General features: G+C 48.0%; 1 protein-coding gene across 6 annotated transcripts in view, besides 1 other annotated feature; it reads left to right on the top strand.

The window, feature by feature from the left end:
* Window positions 1-20,221, top strand: part of HSPA12A (heat shock protein family A (Hsp70) member 12A) — a 179,556-nt gene that overhangs the window by 137,262 nt on the left and 22,073 nt on the right. For 5 of the 6 annotated variants that reach the window (XM_005269673.6, NM_001330164.2, XM_011539579.3 and 2 more), the window contains 4 exons: window positions 6,201-6,286; window positions 8,208-8,335; window positions 12,357-12,543; window positions 14,747-14,851. In XM_005269673.6, the coding sequence (XP_005269730.1) occupies window positions 6,201-6,286; window positions 8,208-8,335; window positions 12,357-12,543; window positions 14,747-14,851 (506 nt within the window). Of the gene's footprint in view, window positions 1-6,200; window positions 6,287-8,207; window positions 8,336-12,356; window positions 12,544-14,746; window positions 14,852-20,221 lie in introns of those variants that run through there. The other variant, XM_047424972.1, reaches the window with a different exon arrangement.
* Window positions 18,395-19,366: an enhancer, noted in NCBI's record as "NANOG-H3K27ac-H3K4me1 hESC enhancer chr10:118453631-118454602 (GRCh37/hg19 assembly coordinates)". NCBI's record gives its function as "activates a minimal SCP1, AML or CMV promoter by ChIP-STARR-seq in naive H9 embryonic stem cells {active_cell/tissue: H9 hESC(naive)}" and the evidence as "EXISTENCE:reporter gene assay evidence [ECO:0000049][PMID:30033119]".

Here is a 20,221-nt window from a genome sequence, read left to right as displayed (position 1 = left end):
CAACTTGGCCTGGGCTTGATGCTACTGTCTCTGCCATGGTAAATGCTCATTTCCATAATTATTATTTAGCATTTGCAGAGTGGTTATTTTACACTCAGTGTTCTTTGTAGTGAGAGGGTCTCCTGGTTCATGCCAATAAAATTTCCATTTACTCTGGACATCCACCATAGTGATTAAAAACAGCCCATAAATTATTTACTGAAATGGAAGTTCAGCTTACAGTAATAATGCATTAGTTCAGCTAGCCATGAAGCCTGTTATAGGGTAATAAAAGATTTTTTATTTTCCTTCTGAAAAGATGTTTGCCAGTAACCTACATATGACCTTGAGCTGATCAGTTTTCAAAGATGACACTGCAGGCAGGCATATAAGGAGAGAAAGAGAGAGAGGTTTTTTTTTTTTAAATAGCCTGATTTTAGGCAATCGTTAGCAAAGGCCTGACATCTGACAGCCAGCAGGGAAAAAGAAATGCAAATATATATATATATATATATATATATATATATATTGCATTTTTTAAAATCATAAGTACCAGACCTTAAAACTCCTTTTCAAATTGGGCATTTATTTGATGGATACGTAAATCTGAAAGCTAACAAGAAGGACTGTTTAGAGAAACTAGAATGTCACTATTGTTGAGACCACCTGTCACATTTCCTCGGAGCCTAGAACCTTGTAGAATAAAGTCAGCCCTATGGTTCTGTCTTCATCTTTAAACATGTATTTATGGAGCAGAATTGATTTTATGTATCTCAGAGAGTCTGTGATTCTGCTCACGGCCATTTGCTGACTAATGACTTTGGCAGAGGAGAACAGCAAGCAAGTTCATGAATTATGGCTCTCTTTGAGGTTCTCTTATCAAGACTATTTTTTATTTTAAGAACATCTGCTTTGATTAAAGCCATTAGAGCTGGGACCACATAAAATTGTGTCTGAATTTTATATGTGTTGCATTTTACAGCAGGAACCCAGATGAAGCCTGCATTTTAATCCTTAAACCAATAAGACCAGCGATGAGGATTAACCTAACAAACTAAACTAGTTCCTCCTCAATTGCCTGGTTTGGGGTTGTAAGAAATCCTGGGGCAGGAGACTTGTTGGCCAGGATTTGATACTTTTATTTATTTGTCCTCTACATTGCTGCAAAAATATTTTCATTTCTTTATATACCCCTCTTTCTGGCAAAAATTGTTTAATGTGTTGGGGTGGGGTGTTCCAGGATTGTGAGTTAATCTATAACCACCCTCATCACCTTATTTTTATGTTCACTAAAGTTAAAAAAGATTTTCTGCTCACTAGCTCTGCAAGACTGAAGTGATGTTAAATTATCTAACACGTAGCTAATAGCAAAGGAGACATGATGATTAATTTTTGTTTGTTCCCCAGAAAGCTCTTCTGTTTGTTTCCCAGAAAGGTCTGTTCCCCAGAAAGGTCTCTTCCCCTTCCGCTTAACCATAGTTTTGTGGCTAGTAGTTTGCATTCTTGAAAGGGTCAGTGTTGGCCGGGCACAGTGGCTCACGCCTGTAATCCCAGCAGTTTGGGAGGCCGAGGCCAGCGGATCACAAGGTCAGGAGATCGAGACCATCCTGGCTAACACAGTGAAATCCTGTCTCTACTAAAAATAAAAAAATTTAAAAATTTAAAAAAAAAAAACATTAGCTGGGCGCGTTGGCAGGCGCCTGTAGTCCCAGCTACTCGGGAGGCTGAGGCAGGAGAATGTCGTGAACCTGGGAGGTGGAGCTTGCAGTGAGCCGAGATCGCACCACTGCACTCAGCCTGGGCGACAGAGCGAGACTCAGTCTCGAAAAAAAAAAAAAAGAAAAAAAAAGAAAGAGTCAGTGTTTCTCTGATTCCTTGATGTGAAAACATTGACTCTCTCTGTATTATGGGATTTCAGGGTAACTTAGTGCTTGAAGTGGAAGATGCTTTGAGTAGGCCTTTATTTAATCTACTTGGAACGGTGCTGTAGGTATTTCTTAAAACTCCTAGTTCCTTTAGCTCTGTCCTTGATCACATTTCTTGATAGAGCATTTTCTTTAACCTGTCTTTTAGCAATCTTCCTTCTCTACCTCCACAGAAGGGTCTGGATTTTCTTTTCTTCAGCTTCCTTTCTTTCTCTCAAGCCTCGACTATAGGAAACTCTATTTGTGTCGAGGTGTTGACTTAGCCTTTCTCTTCTGTTCCTAGTGTGTCCAAGTCAACCTGTGGGGACTGAACTGGACTATCCCCTGGGTGAGAGTAGTCCCGAGGGAGATGTTGTTGTATTAGCTTTATAGAAGCAGTGGAGGCAGGGCCACACTTAATGGCATTTGGGATTCCTTACTATAGATAATGGCCTCTGTATAATTGACAGCCAGGACACACAGCCTACACTTGGTATGTATAGGGCATTCCATACATCAATTCTCTCCTGTTGTCCATTAGCTTATATCTGTCAGATATTCATAGATTAATAGATAATATTCTGTATTTTATTTCTGATCATTTACCTACTGAATGAAAGATCTCAAGCCTTGTTGGGACACATCAGAATTAAACTCCCCATTCTCCTCAGGGGGTGAGATAGGCTTTTCCGTTTTTTTTCCCCTGAGAATTTTTGAGCATCATTTTGACATCCTAAGTAGTGAAGTAGAGAAACAGTAGCATGTCTCTACTGGCTGTGTATATTTCTGTGCTGTACTGATGGACATTCGCTGGTGAATTATCTTTGATTTGGAATATACAGATATATAGATGTGGGTGTGCACCATGTGCAGGTATCTCTGAAAATGTTACCCCTCCATACCTTCTGTGCAGATCAGTTTTCAATCATTGCACAGTGTAGCTGAATTTTAACTTCTGATGGAAAAAGTCCATGAAGTTCGGCTGCCTCTAGGCCTGGCTGAGTGATCAGCAAGTCAAATGATTTGTTTAATATTGGCCCAGTTGCCGTGGGGTTGAAGGGAGGTACAGCAGAACCAAAAAATCCTTGCTTCTTGCCCTCAAAGTATCCTAGAGTCCCCTGGGGACCCAAGACATGTGTTCCATGTGTGGCTCAACCTTGGCTATTTTGCAAATCAGTGAGAAGACCCAGGGCTCTGAGAAGGGCTGAGTGATGGGATAATTAGGACCAAGCAGCAGCGGGGTGGATAGTTTGTCTGCAGATAATAGCTTGTTTGCTAATTGCCAACACCAGATTTTCTGGGCAATTAGACATTTGGTTTCTTTCAGGACCGTCTGTGCAAATGTGGACACATGGCGCAGGCCTTCCAGGTAGCAGGTGGAGAGGGTGGCTTCTGGTGCTGATGGCATTTCTCCGCAGGCTGCCCAAGGGCTGTGGGCAGGGAGGACCTCTCACCAACAGGTGGAAGGACCATCTGGCTGGAACCCCTAGTGGGGAGGCAGAGTTCCCCCTGCATTCATGGAAGGGGTTCCCTTGTGCTGGGAGATTAGCAAAGATGGTGGAGATCAGCAGGCTGGTCTAGGAACTGAGCTGACTTCTCCATTCTCTTTTCAAGAGCAATTAGCGCCCACGGCTAATAGCAATTCTGTTAGTCGTGGGTGCTAATAGAAATCAGAAATAGCTTCCCCTCCCAGATGAGCAAGTTGATTTAAACTTTTCAATAAAGTTTTTTTAAAAAGTATGTATAACATAAAATTTGCCACTTAAACCATTTTAAGTGTATGATTCAGTGGCATGAATTATATTCACAATGTTGTGCAACCATCACCACTATCTATTTCCAAAATTTTTCACTACCCCAAAGAGAAATTCTGTACTCATTAAGCAAGAACTCTCCATTTCTCCCTTCCTCTTACCCCTGGTCACCTCTCATCTACTTTCTGTCTCTGTGAATTTGCCTATTCTGGAGATTTCCTATAAGTGGAATGATACAATATTTGTCCTTTTGCATCCATGTATTTTACTTAGCATATTTTCTAGGTTCACCTATGTTATAGCATGTATAAGAATGTTCTTCCTTTTTACAATGAAATACTATTCTGTTGTATGGATATACCACATTTGGTTTATCCCTTCATCTTTTTTTTTTTTTTTTTTGAGATGGAGTCTTGCTCTGTCACCAGGCTGGAGTGCAGTGGCACAATCTCGGCTCACTGCACCCTCCGCCTCCTGGGTTCAAATGATTCTCCTGTCTCAGCCTCCCGAGTAGCTGGGACTACAGGCATGTGCCACCACGCCTGGCTAATTTTTGTATTTTTAAGTAGAGATGGAGTTTCACCATGTTGGCAAGGCTGGTCTTCAGCTCCTGACCTCAAGTGATCTGCCCACCTTGGCCTCCCAAAGTGCTGGGATTATAGGCGTGAGCCACCGCGCCCAGCCTATCCCTTCATCTGTTGTTGGACACTGGAAGTGTTTCCACCTTTCTGTTATTGTGAATAATGCTGCATGAACATTTGCATATAAGTATCTCCTTGAGTCCCTGTTTTCAGTTTTTTGGGTAGATACCTAGGAGTGGAATTGCTGGTCATATGGTAATTCTGTACTTGACTTTTTGAGGAACTGCCAAACTCTTTTCCACAGCAGTTGTCCCGTTTTATATTCCCACTAGCAATGCTCAAGGATTCCAATTTCTTCACATCCTTGACACACTTGTTATTTTCCTTTCTTAAAAAACTGTAGCCATCCTAGTCAGTGTGAAGCCATATCTCACTGGTTTTGATTAGCATTTCTCTACAGACTAATGATGTTGAACATCTTTTCATATACTTGTTGATATATCTTTTGTGTATTTTCTTTGGAGAAATGTCTATTCAAGTCCTTTACCCAGCGAGTTGGATTTTTGCCTCTGTAATTACTGGACTGTGCCTCTCCCTCCCCAAGATAGGAACTGAGCCTCATCAGGCGGAGAGAGGCTGTGAGCTTGCAGAGAGTGGGAGGTGGCTGTGCAGATTTGAGGCTTCACATTCCCTCTTGCATGATTCATTTCATTCCTACAGCCTGTTTGGTGCCCACTGTAATGATGCTGCCTGAGTCCTCATCAAGTAGAAAAAGTAATCAGCAAGAGCCTGGGATTAACCCAAAGTGATTTAGCAGAAGAGGCAGATGGAACCATTCCACCTGCTCCCCTAGAAGCAGACAGGCTTTTCTCAGACACCTCAAACCTTCTGGTTTCCTTGACCACAAGTATTGCCTTGGAAAATTACCCACTTCTTCCTAGCAGGTTTCAGTACGTATGTACTAAACGGAGCAGGATGTGCAGAGCACCGAGGGTGGTGCTGGGTCGTTGCACGTGCCCAGTGCCCGGCCTTCGTCTCTGCGGTGGGAGCACGCAGTCTTCACTCAGCTTCTCTGTGCCCTGCCAGCCCTAGGCAGCAGGCAGGGAGAGCACTGTAGCGCGTTCCAATGCCGGCCAGGGAGAGTGTTTTTTCTCCCGGGGGGCCCATTCCTGGGGCAGAGCCACTGGCTCTGGGAAGACTTCAGAAAAATGCTAGGCCTGAATGATGGTGAGTGCAGGGGAACAGACAAAATGGTGTTCCTGCTGCTTAGCTGCTGGCCCTTCGCCTGTTTGACCTCGTGGCTGTTGGGTCCCATCTGCAGGGGCTAGAAATGCTGATCTGTCTGCCTTTTTGCTGTGGTTTTTATGATTGAAAAAGGTCCCAAACCTTCAGTATCACTGAAGAGAGATGAATTCACATGCCCTGGCAGGGGGAGGGAGGAGCTGGTGCATCTGCTAGGCAAGGACGCTCTTTCTGAAGCTTCATCACATCCTACATTCCTAGGATAGGGGTTGCTCTTCCTTGGGGGAGGTACCCCTCACCCCTTTGGGAACCCGAGGGCTGTAGATGCTCTTCCAAGAAAATGCACACAAAAATTTGACATAATTTCAGGTGGCTACAGGTCCTGCTAGTCCATCATGGAGCCTGGCCTCTGGCTCCACAGACAACACAGCCAGGAGCGGAGCTTTCGGGGACTGACCAGCATCTCCAACTAAGCTGGGTTGAGTGGCACAGAGTGAGAGGCCTGGTGGCGACTGGGAGGAAAGGAGCATCTCATTTGGTCGAATTCTAAATACCAAATGCAAAGAGGTGCTGGAACGGATGTTCCTGCCTTCCTGGCTGGGGCTGGGCCTTGCCCATTTCGTGAGCTGGCTTTGCAGAGGCCGCAGTTCCTGGAGGAGTTAAGGCCATGCAGCCCTCATTTCTTCCCCCTGGGTCAGTCCATGCCACTTCTAAGGAGGCGGCTTTGTTTTTCCTTTCAGAAACGGCTCCCACATCTGCATATTCATCTCCAGCCCGGAGTCTTGGGGACACAGGAATAACGCCTCTGTCCCCCTCCCATATTGTGGTAAGAAGTGTGTGTGTGTGTGTGTGTGTGTGTGTGTGTGTGTGTGCGCGCATGGGTGCGCATGAGCACACGTGCGTACTGACTTCCTTTGCATTCTGGGTCTGATCTCACAGTTCAGGCTGCTGGACAGCCCCTCACATTCACTGGTTGGAGATTAAGTTGACCTGGTCCTGGCCAAAGGAGCCCTGCCAAGCCCCTTCCCCCACTCCGAGCCTGGGAAGGCTTTCTGTGCTGTGGCTAGTGCTTCTGGAGCAGGGGCCTGGGTGGGTCACAGAAGAAGGTGAGATGGGAGCAGCCCTTTAAAGATTCAGGGTCAGAGCCTGTGAGGTGTCCTCTTGAGAGGAAGCCGCTGACTCTGGGCTAGTGAATCGGTGAATACATGGACTCTGTTGACTGCGGTTGTCTGCAGTATCGAAAAGACCCTAGCAGTATAATCGCTTCTGGAACAGCTTGCCTGGTAGAGAAGCCCTGAGCAGGGCTTCATATGCATTGAGTGGGGCTAGAGATGGGGCTGTTGCTCCCACCCTGCCCTGTATGAGGAAAGATGGATGTTAGGGGGCGGCCGTTTAGAGGGGTGTGCACGTAGATGCACAGGCAGCCAACCTGAGTGAGTGCCCGGAAGACAGGGCAGCTTTGCATGAGCTGTGCAGACGCACAAAGAAGACCCAGGGAGAACTGCGGAGTCACTGCTAGGCAGGGATGCCAGCCTGTCTGGTTTCCTGGAACTGTCCGGCCTTTACACTGCAAGTCCTGCACCCTGGGGACTCCTTTATTCCTGGGCAAACTGGGAGGGTTGGTTCCCTAGGGCCAGGTTCTGTGGTTTTCAAGCTTTGCACCCTGAAGTTGTCCTGTAAGAGCTTCAGGGCTGTGAGGGAGGGGAGCGGTGTGAGGAGAGGCCAGGCGGGTGGCATTCTCACCCCTCCCCTCCAACATTTGTTGGTTTTATAATTTGGAGTTCTGTGGGAGTTAAAAAAAAAGTGTAAACTGCTTAAAAAAAAAAAAAGAGGCCAGGCGTGGTGGCTCACGCCTATGATCCCAGCACTTTGGGAGGCTGAGGTGGGCAGATCACGAGGTCAGGAGATCGAGACCATCCTGGCTAACACCGTGAAACCCAGTCTCTACTAAAAAATACAAGAAATTAGCCGGGTGTGGTGGCGGGTGCCTATAGTCCCAGCTACTCGGGAGGCTGAGGCGGAGAAGGGCGTGAACCCGGGAGGCAGAGCTTGCAGTGAGCCGAGATTGGGCCACTGCGCTCCAGCCTGGGCGACAGAGCGAGACTCCGTCTCAAAAAAAAAAAAAAAAAAAAGGAGAGAGAGAAAGGCTTGGAAACCTGAAATAGCCTGACCAAGTGATCTAGATGAGGCAAGGCCCTGGGCCCTGACAGTCACAGTGGGTCATGTGGCTGGCCTGGTGGGATTGGACACGGTCCTGGGATGCCCAGCCCTGCTCACATGCATGAAATGCCAGCACAGATGGAGCAGTCACCTGGGTGTACAGAGGGCACAGCTGGCGAAATGCTCCTGGCAGTGGCCAGAGGTCTGCACAGGGTCTTGCGGAAGGCAGCAGGGCTTGGAAGAAGATTGTATCTGCTCAGGAACTACTGGGCGACCAGCCCTGATGATAGAATTTCTGTAACTAGCCGTGTGCGGGCACGGTCTATAGAGAGGAGTGGGCAAGCTGCAGGCTTTGTCCAGTCAGCCTGGCCCTCCACTCAGGGATGCCCCCATTTCTCCCTGAGCCATTCAGGCGGGGGCCCAGGCTGGGCTGCCTTCTCCCCAGGTGGTAGACTTGAGCTGGAATATAGAATGTCTTTCTGTCTGCAGGGGGTTCACAGCTAGGCAAGGTGAGACCCCCCAGGGGTGTCTTCCTGAAAGCCAGGCCCACCCCTCCACACCCCCCATGCCTCACTGTATATCTGCAGAACGACACTGACTCCAACGTCTCAGAACAGCAGTCATTTCTCGTGGTGGTGGCCGTCGACTTTGGGACCACATCCAGTGGCTATGCCTACAGCTTCACCAAGGAGCCGGAATGCATCCATGTGATGAGGTGAGTGCTGTGGGTGGGAGGGCCACGTGGCTGGTGCCAACCACTGCACCTGTGGAGACTCCGGGCAATGAGCCAGTGATTGGCACTTACGAAGACGGCCCTGGATTCTGTTCCAGCTTGGCTCAAGCTCACCATGCCACTGGGGACAAGCCATTTCTGATCTCTGGGCTCTAGGCTCCTGGTTTGAAAAGACGTTGGTTTGATTCTGATTTAGTTGGTCTGGGGAGGGGCCTGGGCAGTATGTTTGAAGCCTGGCCCGGGTGAATCCAGCTTGTGGCCTGGGTGAGAGGCGCAGATCTGTAGTGTCTGTGATGGAGGGATCCAGGTGCCAGCTTGGCCACTTACTGTGTGACTTTAGGCAATTGCTGAACCTGCTAAACCCCAGTTTCCTCATCTGTGAAATGGGAATCCTGACAATACCTCCCTCACAATGTGTGTGTGCAAATGAAAGGAGATTGTCCATTAAGTGCTTACTGTGTAGTAAAATGAAAGCAGGGAAGGTGCTGGCCCTTTCTTTTATTTTTTTTAAATTTTGTTATTATTATACTTTAAGTTTTAGGGTACATGTGCACAACGTGCAGGTTTGTTACATATGTATACATGTGCCATGTTGGTGTGCTGCACCCATTAACTCGTCATTTAGCATTAGGTATATCTCCTAATGCTATCCCTCCCCACTCCCCCCACCCCACAACAGTCCCTGGTGTGTGATGTTCCCCTTCCTGTGTCCATGTGTTCTCATTGTTCAATTCCCACCTATGAGTGAGAACATGCGGTGTTTGGTTTTTTGTCCTTGCGATAGTTTGCTGAGAATGATGGTTTCCAGTTTCATCCATGTCCCTACAAAGGACATGAACTCATCATTTTTTATGGCTGCATAGTATTCCATGGTGTATATGTGCCACATTTTCTTAATCTAGTCTACCGTTGTTGGACATTTACATTGGTTCCAAGTCTTTGCTATTGTGAATAGTGCCGCTATAAACATACGTGTGCATGTGTCTTTACAGCAGCATGATTTATAATCCTTTGGGTATACCCAGTAATGGGATGGCTGGGTCAAATGGCATTTCTAGTTCTAGATCCCTGAGGAATCGCCACACTGACTTCCACAATGGTTGAACGAGTTTACAGTCCCACCAACAGTGTAAAAGTGTTCCTATTTCTCCACATCCTCTCCAGGTGCTGGCCCTTTCAAGTGAAGAGAAGTGCTGGGGTGTTGGTAGCCAGAGGCAAAAAGCACCTGCCAGAGAGAAGGCAGCATGAGGGGAATCTCAGCCAAGTGGCCCCATAGGCAAAGTTGCCCTGGGCCTCCTGGGATGCACTCTGTGCTGGGATGCCCCCTTCCCTTCCCCGCACACCCAGCACCCTGCAGGCCCCGGGTGCCACCCATCCATGGGATCCCAGTCTTGATCCATGATCTTCTTGCAGGGTATGACTCCTCGAATCTTTGGAAGCCCAGAATTTATCATCCCAATTTTCAATTCCAAGGGATGACTCTGAAGATACATTGTAATTGGCTTTGCAGTTTCTTCAACTGAGTAATTGTGGAATTTAGTATTGCTCCTAGATTAATATTTTTTAGTTTTGTTGTTGTTGTTATTTTTTTTTTTTTAAGAGACAGGCTCTTGTTCCTTTGCCCAGGCTGGAATGCAGTGGTGTGATCATGGCTCTCTGCAGCCTCAAACTCCTGGGCTGAAGTGATCCTCCTGCCTTAGCCTCCCAAGTGGCTGAGACTACAGGTGCATACCACCACACCCTGCTAATGTTTGTATTTTAGGAATTTTTATAAAGGGTTGTGTAAAGCACAAGTCATAATAAAAGTGACTCCCACCCCAATCTTGGTTTAAGTCTCACCTTTCCTCTTGAAAACCAGATGTGGCTCAGCCTGAAGCTCTTGTCCTAAGAGGGTACAGACACTCCTGGGTGTCATGTCATCAGGAAATGATGAAAAGCCGGTTCTATAGCCAACTCTGTTGACAGCATCGCCCTTGGTGTTCAGTTGCCACCAGGAATCTCTTTCCATTTAGCCAGACAGATGCTGTGAGGGTCTGTGCTGCCACCACTGACCCCCAAGATGAAAAATCCCAGTGGAAAAGAATATGCCATTAAAGGCTAGAATCAATGTTTATCAGCTTCTATGTAGTTGTTCTAAGAAATGTTATTTCCACAGAATAGTCATGCAGTGAAAACAGAAAAGAAGGAGTGGAAATAACTTTGAACTTGCTTGGGGAGGGGTACTTATGAAGCACCACCATAGTTCAGGGCCTCTAGAGGAGATACCTTAGTAATGGTCGACATTTTGGAGGGAGGTTGGTTGGTTCTACCTGAATTTTATTTCAATCAGAACATATTAGCATAATGATGCTAATATGACAAGTTATAAGTGAGAAAGTTAACTTTTTTTTGTACTAAGTGGGAATGAAGGAATAAAAATTTGAAGGGAAAAAGCTCATGGGGTCATTCTCTACTGATAATGTCACTGTTAATGACAATTCCATTTGTGAAGGGCAGTGTGTGGAGCAGCTGCCTGGCATCGGGGCCATCCCTGTGTCTCAGTGCGGTCACCTCGGGGACTTTGGCTGCTGGGGTAGGAGCAGCATCCTGATGGAGCTTGACAAGGAAATTGACCAGGGATGATTCCAGACCCATTTGAGCAGCAAATATCAGTGGAGGCCGGAGCTCCATCTGGACTGAGATGGTCCTACTGATGCTTAATGTCATGGGGTCGGGAGCAGGTCCGGGATCAGCTGGGAGCGTGGCCACCTCTCCAGTGGGTGAGGAAAGTGGCTCATTTTCCCTCCTGCACTGCGTCCCCACCTGAGGGCGCACGGGCTGTGCATGGGGTCACATGGCCAGCGGCAGGCCAGGAGCCAGGACCTGGTTGGGCAGGGAACAGCTTGGCCTCTTGGTGGCCCTGGCCTCTCTGCAGTGGCCCCAAAGGTGAGCGAATACATTGAGTTTCCTGTCTTCCCCTTCCCCCTTCCCTTGCTCTCACTGCAGCCTCTCTCTCTCTCTCTCTCTCTCTGTCATTTCTTTTTAGAGATAGGGTCTTGCTGTGTTGCCCAGGCTGGAGTGCAGTGATGCGATCATAGCTCACTGCAATCCTCCCACCTTGGCCCCCCAGAGTGCTGAGATCTGTTTCTATGGTTCTTTCACCTCTGCTCCAGGATAGGTCTGAGGCTCCTGGCTTCCCTTTCCCTCCATTTAGCCCAGTTTGCCCTTATGAACAGCAGCTCTGATTCTGTCATACCCCTGCTCTAAGACCTTTAGTGGCTTCCCATTATTCACAGAGTAAATGTCTAAGTCCCCAGGGTTCTCCTCAGCCTGATTCCAGCTGCTTTCCCAATCGTGTTTCTCACCCTTCCCATTTTCACAGTCACTCTTCCCACTCACATACTCTCTCCAACCAACGCAGTCACTTCACATTCTCCACGAATGCCCCGGCTGGCCCACCTCTGAGCAGCCTGGAGTATCCTTCCCTCCTTTGAGATCCAGTTGTCTGTCTCTTCTTCAGTTCTCCCCCGAATCCTGCATTCTTTCCTCTGCCCTACCAGCTGGCACCTTGGGCATCTCATTTGCATCTCATAAGGCAGGTAATTATGCATTTGTCTATACCTACCTTGTTTCAGACAGGATTCAAGCTAGCAGTATATCTGCTATTGAGTGCTTGCAAATAAAAAATACATTGCCTAGCAGATTGTGAATTATTTGAAGACACAGACATAAAAGTTTCATGCCAGCACCTGGCAAACATGTAGATGCTTAGAGTAGATGCTCAGTAAACATGGAATGAAAGACTAAGGCAGAGCTTGTTATTGACCAAGAACTTTGCACTTGCCCAGTTCATCTCCTTTTTAACTGAAGTTGTGTCTCTAGTAGCTGCTCATCCAGCTGAAGCAGAGTGCCTCTGGGCACCCACATTACTGACACTCATGCATACAGTAGGTGTTCAAATCTGTGCTGCCTGAATTGGGATTTTGAAAGAAGGCCCCATAACTTCTGCTTCCCTTGGTGGCAGGCGATGGGAGGGAGGTGACCCTGGTGTGTCCAATCAGAAGACTCCAACCACCATCTTGCTGACTCCCGAGAGGAAGTTCCACAGCTTCGGGTATGCCGCCAGGGACTTTTACCATGACCTGGATCCCAATGAGGCCAAGCAGTGGCTGTACCTGGAGAAGTTCAAGATGAAGCTGCACACCACTGGGGTGAGCAAGCCTCTCCCCTGGGCCCAGGTCCCCCGCAATGGAGTGCCAAGCTTCCTCCAGCCTTGGGGTGGGGAAGGGATGTCCTCCCAACCCAGGGGGCCCTCTGGTCTCTTCCAAGCAGAAATCAGTGTCCATTTACCTTGATTTTAGACACAACCTGGAGCACACAGTGCTTTTGTGGAATATGCGATGCTTTCCAATGTGCATGTGGGCAGGGAGATATTCTGAATATTTAACAACTCGTTTGTCTTGGAAATGGACCTATCAGAGTAGACCCTGGTTATACCAGGGAAGTGGGGTGCTGGGGCCCTCCTGCTGTGCCAGGAGTTCTCCCTTTAGTTTCTGGATTATTGAGAGATCAGTGTATCATGAAGGATCCACTTGGGGGCTAGGGACACATGGCGAGCTCAGGGCAGTAGCTCTTAACTAACCAGTTTGGATGTAACAACCAGTAACAACTGGTACATCCAGCTCTTTATGTGGGGAGGGGGAGCTCAGGACATCAAGTGCCCAATAATTGGAGGTCCAACTCCCTGAGTGGTGTCCTCAGCTCCCAGCAAGCCAGTGTTCCATAAGACACCTACATCAAACAGGCACCCCCTGCCACCCCGAAGCTTCGTAGAAAAGGATAGGGCATAGGACAGAACTTTTTTGAGTTAAGCATTTTATTCCATAAAGTTTCCTTAACTGTCAGTGCTTAGAAAGGCAGGATGATGATGATGTTTAAGAACACGGACTCTGGGGCCAGATGGCCTGGGTTTCAATCTGGTCACTGGTACCTTTGAGAAATGTAATCCAAGTTATGTAACCCCTCCCTGCCTTGTTTTATCTTCTCTGTCAAATGGAGACAATAGCAGTGCCTTCCTCATGGGGATTTTGTAGGGATTAAAGGAATCAAAATACGTAAAGCTCTTAGAGCCATGCCTGGTGCAGATTAAGTTCTAGTCAAGTGCAAGCTCCTATTCTAATTGCTTTCATTTGTCTGCTGAGCACTTGCAGATGACAAAGCAAACATAAGTGGGAAACTCAGCAGCCAGCACCCTGCCTTTCAAGGCTCTGTGCCCATCGGCGTGGTTGTCCTTCTATGGTGCAGACCAAGTTCTGCTAGAAATGAACTGTTCCTATTTTGCCTAATGGGATTCAATGCTGAGTATCAGGATGGCAGGTGGAAGGAAGCACAGGGATTTTTTTCAATTCAGAGCCATGGTTTCCTGGCACTTGACCACCTTTCTGAGCCTGGGAGCTGCTGCCCTAAAGCTGGGGTATCTTTGTTGGGCACCAGGAGCAGAAGGCAGCTGGCTGGGAGGAGTGAGCAAGTGCAGATAGGTCAGGATGCCACAGACGGGCTCCACATGGCTAGCTTAGTAACTCAATGCCCGTTTTCACTCCCAAGGCAAAGCATAATTACCCAGCCTGGGACAATCTGGAGGCCCCAGTGATTTTTTTCCCCCTGGCAGTAATGAGTTTGTTGGTTCAGGAGACCTGGGGGCTTCCTCCTGATTTTTGCTCTCACTCCCTGCCCATCCCTACCCCACAGGGACTTTTCTCATCATTTTTTAATGATCTCCGTCCACCAGCATCTAGGCTCTGCAGAGCATCCTCTCTCTGGGACCACACTCAGCAGCTGCTTTCACTTTTGGTGGAGAGAGGAAAGCAGTGATGCTGGGCTCCTGGCGGATTAGATAGGGCAAGCCTTAAAATAGGAGCTCTTCTATTTTGGTGACTTGGTTGGCAGCGTAATGGGGAATGAAAGCTTCGTCTGTTTAGCATCGTGGATGGCAGTGGGTTGGTACGATTAGGCCTCCATCAGGGGGGATCCTGAGCGTGACCATGTGTGTTCGAATGTGGAAATTGTACGGAAATTGCATGGGGAGTGGCACCTGCTGCCTATTCTCTCTTCCTGACTTCTACTGTTGCCCCTGAAACCTTTGCTCCCAGAGGATCCAGGAGCTAGAGGGAGAGAAGGAGGGAGCAGTGAAGGTGGGGCCTGGAGGGGACAGCCAGAGCCTCCTACACAGTAAGGGGACACTGCTGCCAGCCCCCATTTTGGGGGATGCGCCATCCTAGTCTGCCTCTTTAAGCATGGGGGAACACAGACATGGCTCACCAGGATCCTCTAGGTCCCCTTGGAGCAGTCCCCAAAGCCAGGAGACATGTTTCTCCTGTGTCATCTTCTTACTATTGTTCCTCTTCCTCCTACCAGGACCTCACCATGGATACAGACCTGACGGCAGCAAATGGCAAGAAAGTCAAAGCCCTTGAAATCTTTGCTTATGCCCTGCAGTACTTTAAGGAGCAGGCGCTGAAGGTAGGACTGATAGTTGAGGCCAGCCAGCTGTGTGCTAGGCGGTGGCACCCGTGCCAGCTCCGTGTCTCGGGCTGCTGCACCTGCTGGCCAGGGTAGGAGGCACAGCCTGGAGGGAGAGTGTGGGCTTTGGAGTCAACACAACAGGATGAACCCTCACACGCTGCTGGTGGGAAAGTAAAATGGTGCGGCCTCTTTGGAAAACAGTTTGGCAATTCCTAAAAAAGTAAAGCACAGAGTTACCGTAGGACCCAGCAGCTCCACTCCTGGGTGGAGAAATGAAAGAAATCCCTAAGAGAAATGAAAGAAGAAATGAAATCCCTAAGAGAAATGAAATCCCTAAGAGAAATGAAAGAAGATGTCCACACACACGTATACATGAATGTGCATAGCAACATTATTCATAACTGTGAAAAGTAGAAACAGTCCACATGCTGTCCACACAAACACACGTATACATGAATGTGCATAGCAACATTATTCACAACGACGAAAATCGGAAAAAATCCACATGCCCATCCACTGATGAATGGAGAAACAAAATGTGATCTATCTTACAATGAATGTTATTCAGCCAGAAACAAAATGTGATCTATCTTACAATGAATGTTATTCATCAGTAGGATGAACTACTGATACATCCTACCACATGGAGAAACCTTGAAAACGCCATGTGAAGTGAAAGAAGCCAGATACAGATAGCCACATAGCATGTGATTCCAGTTCTATGAAATGTCCAGAACAGGCACCTTCACAGAAACAGAAAGCAGAGACTTTTTCTGCGCAGGGCTGCAGGGAGTGGGAATAGGAGCGACTGCTGAAGGATATGAGTTTCTTTGAGGAGTGATGAAATTAGGTAATGGGGTTGGGCGCACAACCTTGTGAATATACGAAAACCCACTGAACTACACACTTTATAACTGGGAATTTTATGGTATGGAAATTATATCTGAGTAAAACAAAAAGAGAGGCAGGAAACATACTTAGCAGCTGTGCCATTTTGGTCAAGGTACTTAATCTTTCCAAGATCCACTTTCCTAACTGGAGAGTGGGGTGGGTAACTGTACCTCATAGGCCATTTGATAGAAAATGGGACTGGACATGCAGTGCCCTCCTTGGAGCTTGGTCTATAGTAAGCACTGGGTAAATGGTGGCTGCTATTTCTCCCCCTCCTCCCCCTCCTCCTCTATCCCCCCAGACCCCATGGAAGAAGCTAATAGCGTGAGCCCCCTTGGGTCGCCCCCACAAAGGTCTGTGGTCATGGTGGCCTGAAATTCCAAAAGCATCTAATTTTGAAGTGGAATGTGGCTGTCCACTCGTGTCTCCTCCCACAGGCATGGAGACCAGTGGGTGGGGATCAGATGATTAAAGAGCACTGATGTTTTGAGCTTTATCCAAAAAGATTTGGGAACTTCAGAAGCATTTGGTATTGTGTGACCACTAAAGGAAATTTAGTGAATTCTAGAAATAGGGTCAGAGGGAGACAAAGAAGAAGTGAGAACATGGTATTACTTTCATCTATTCAAGTACCTGTTTTTTTGAGTACCTTTTATGTGTGAAATCCTATACAAGTTATGGCAGTGTAGAAATCAACTCAGTATACAGGAGTGTGTGGTCAGGGTCAGAGTGGTGAGGGGGTAACTGTGGGTGCTGGGGGAGGCAGAGATTCTGTCCATTGGGGAGCATCATGGAAGGCTCCCTGTAGGAGGTGGATTCGGGGCAGGGTGGGGTGTGGTTCACAGGCAGCAACTGGAAGGGTGGGTATTTCAAGCTGGTGGAATGGCACAGGCTCAGCTCAGAAGGAAGAAAGCAGCAGACAAACAGCTGTGGGAAGAAAGCAGTTGAGGTGGAAGGAGGGTAAGGCTGTGGGATAAAGCCAGGATGCCGTGAGCTCAGGATAAGGTAGTGCAGAGCTGCGGATGCCAAGCCAAGGAACTTTTTCTTGGTTAATGGGGAGTCCTCAAAGGATTTCTAGTGGGGGAATGAGTGACGTGGCCACCGGGATAGTAGTAGAGTGTTGTATTAGTCTGTTCTAATGCTGCTAATAAAGACGTACCTGAGATTGGGTAATTTATAAAGGAAGAGGTTTAATGGACTTACAGTTCCACATGGCTGGGGAGGCCTCACAATCATGGTGCAAGACGAAGGAAGAATAAAGGAACGTCTTACATGGTTGCAGGCAAGAGAGCTTGTGCAGGGGAACTTCCCTTTGTAAAACCATCAGATCTCGTGAGACTTATTCACTACCACGAGAACAGTATGGGGGAAACTGCCCCCATGATTCAGTTATCTCCACCTGGCCCCACCCTTGACACGTGGGGATTATTACAATTCAAGGTGAGATTTGGGTGGGGACCATACAGCCACACCATATCAAGTGTCTTAGTCTATTTTGTGCCACTGTGACGGAATATCACAAACTGGGGAATTTATGAAAAACAGAAATTTATTTCTCATAGTCTGGAGGCTGGGAAGTCCAAGATCAATGTGCTAGTGGGTTTGGTGTCTGGTGAGGACCCAGTCTCTGCTTCTAAGATGGAGCCTTCAATGCAGCATCCTCTTGCCAAGGGGATGTGGATTGAAAGAGCCCACGCACTCCTGAAACCTGCAAGCCTTTTTTTTTTTTTTTTTTTTTGAGATGGAGTCTCTCTCTGTTGCCCAGGCTGGAGTGCAGTAGTGCGATCTCGGCTCACCACAACCTCTGCCTCCCAGGTTCAAGCAATTCCCTTGCCTCAGCCTCCCAAGTAGCTGGGACTACAGGTGTGTGCCACCATGCCCAGCTAATTTTTGTTTTTTCTTTTTTCTTTGTTTTTGTTTTGAGACGGAGTCTCGCTCTGTTGCCCAGCCAGGCTGGAGTGCAGTGGCGTGATCTTGGCTCACTGCAAGCTCTGCCTCCCAGGTTCACGCCATTCTCCTGCCTCAGCCTCCCGAGTAGCTGGGACTACAGGCGCCCGCCACCATGCCTGGCTAATTTTTTGTATTTTTAGTAGAGACGGGGTTTCACCATGTTAGCCAGGATGGTCTGGATCTCCTGACCTCATGATCCGCCCGCCTCGGCCTCCCAAAGTGCTGGGATTACAGGTGTGAGCCACCGCGCCCGGCCAATTTTTGTATTTTTAGTAGAGATGGGATTTCACTATGTTGGCCAGGATGGTCTCGAACTCCTGACCTCATGATCCGCCCACCTTGGCCACTCAAAGTGCTGGGATTACAGGTGTGAGCCACCACACCTGGCCGCAAGCCCTTTTTATGGCAGCAAAAATCCGTTCCTGAGACCGGAGCTCTCATGACATAAACATCTCCCATTAGGCCCCACCTCCCACTCAACACAGTTGCACTGGGGAGTACATTTCCAACACATGAGTTTTCGGGGACACATTCAGAACACAGCATAGAGTGAGAGACCCCAGTAATCCCGAGAGCCTGCAGGGTGGAGGTCGGTGGTGTGGAGGCAGTTGACTCAGATTCTGCAGGTTTGTCTGCAGGGAGAGAGGGAGGCTCTGAGACTGAGAGCCACAGGGTCATTTGGGGAGCAAGAAGGAGGATCTGACAACCAAGAAGAAAGAGGGCCCGTGGGCTGGGAAGGAGTGGGTTCTGGGCAAACAGTATTCCACCAGTAAGGGGACAAGGGGACAGGGGAGGCCTGGCAGCAAGGTCACTGTGGGGTGGGGGTTGAGGCATGGGAGAGGGAAGGGAGGGGACTGGGTGGTGTTCGGGAAGGTGACCACAGTCAGAGACAAGCGTTGTGAAGCCTGCTTGGAACTGGAGAAGGGGTCAGCCCCTTTGTTCCAGGCGGCAAAAGGGCAGAAGGGGAGGGGCACAACGAGGTGGACCCAGGTCTGCTGGAAGAGCAAAGGTTGCAGAGGGACAGGCTCAGCGCCTGGTGGCCCAGGAGGCCACGTGAGGATGTGTCTGTGGGCACCGAGGCAGGTGAAGGAGCAGAGAGTGCAGAGCGCACAGGGGCTCCTGAGTTAGGAGGAGGAGCCGTAGGGGCTCGGGGGCAAAATTTAGGACTCAGAAAGCCCAGGATGTTGGTGCGTTTCAAATTTGCCAACAGGAAAGGAGTGAGCAGCCCATCTCAGAAGGGGAGGGAGGAGGTGGAGGGAACGGCCCCAGAAGGTCAAGTGGCCATGTGGGTGGTTGTTTGTGAATTCCTCAGCTCAGCCAGAGAGACTCCAGGGAACTTGCTGGCACCTTTCTTTCAAAGGTAGCTCCTCCCAGCAGGGAATATGCCGTGAATAAATTCCAGGAGAAAAAGCTGTTTGATGTATAGGAGGAGCTAGACCTTGCCAGGGGCTGGCTGGAGTTGGAGGGAGGGGGTTATGGCTTGCTTGGCTGGAATAAGCAAAGGCAGGATACCTACTCAAGTGGGACGTCCAAGAGTCACAGAAATGAAGCCACCCAGTGGGTCATGAAGGAAAGCCCGTGACAGTGCCTGACACATGAGATGGTCAATTAATTAATGCTGGCGCCTTTCCCTTCCAAGCTGTTCCCTACCCGCTGGGGAACTGACAGCTCCTCTAAACTCTCCAGACAGCTCAAGGAAGCCCCTCATGTGTATTTTGAACCCTTTTCCTTTTAAAGAGTTTAAAATCACCTGCCTGGTAATGGGTGCCATGCTTAGAATCTTCCCAACACACATCATACCCTCACCTGCTTTTTCAAACCCAATGCAGACCTGCAAGGAAACAAAATATGATGATAAAAAAATGGCTGCTTTGTGTTGGTCCACAGCAGAGATGTTTTTAGAAAGATGTTTTAAAATAGTTTACTGAATGTACTTAACTGTGCACTTAAAAATGGTTAAGGTGATGAATTTTAGGGTGTGTACATTTTTACCATGAAACATTTTTATTAAAAATTTTTAGAAAAAGGCAAAAAAAAATCATTTGCTGATCAAAGAGGAAGTTAGTTCAGAGAGAGAGAGGGTGGGCCAGACCCAAGATAACTGTTTGAAACAATAGGAAAAATGAGACAGTGTCAGCAATTTTGTTTGTTTGTTTTTTCATCAGTCTATTAATCTTTCTTGTCTCTCCAGAGCTGATTTAGACACAGAAGTGCCTTGGTGTGTGTTTCGGTTTGATTACAGATTTGTCTGGTGAACGTGGCAAGGGGAAGAGAAAGGAAGGAAAGAACTGGCATTTATCAGAGGTCTTTGGGCCAGCATTCCCTCATGTGTTTTCATTTAATCTCGCCAGCAATGCTGTGAGTTAGTTTTATGATCTCCATTGCGCAGATGGGAATACTGAGTCTAAGAAGTCCTCCAGCGACATATTTTGTCCCCGTGAACCAGGTGGAAACCTCTGATGCTTCTGCCCAGCCCCTTTATCAACATGGGCCTCAGTGATGTCGTTTAACCTTAACCAAAAGTTA

The sequence above is a fragment of the Homo sapiens genome, chromosome 10 (genome assembly GCF_000001405.40).
Source record: "Homo sapiens chromosome 10, GRCh38.p14 Primary Assembly".
Classification (NCBI taxonomy): domain Eukaryota; kingdom Metazoa; phylum Chordata; class Mammalia; order Primates; family Hominidae; genus Homo; species Homo sapiens.
Note: the sequence above shows the minus strand (reverse complement) of the source record. Positions and strands in the feature narration are given on the sequence as shown.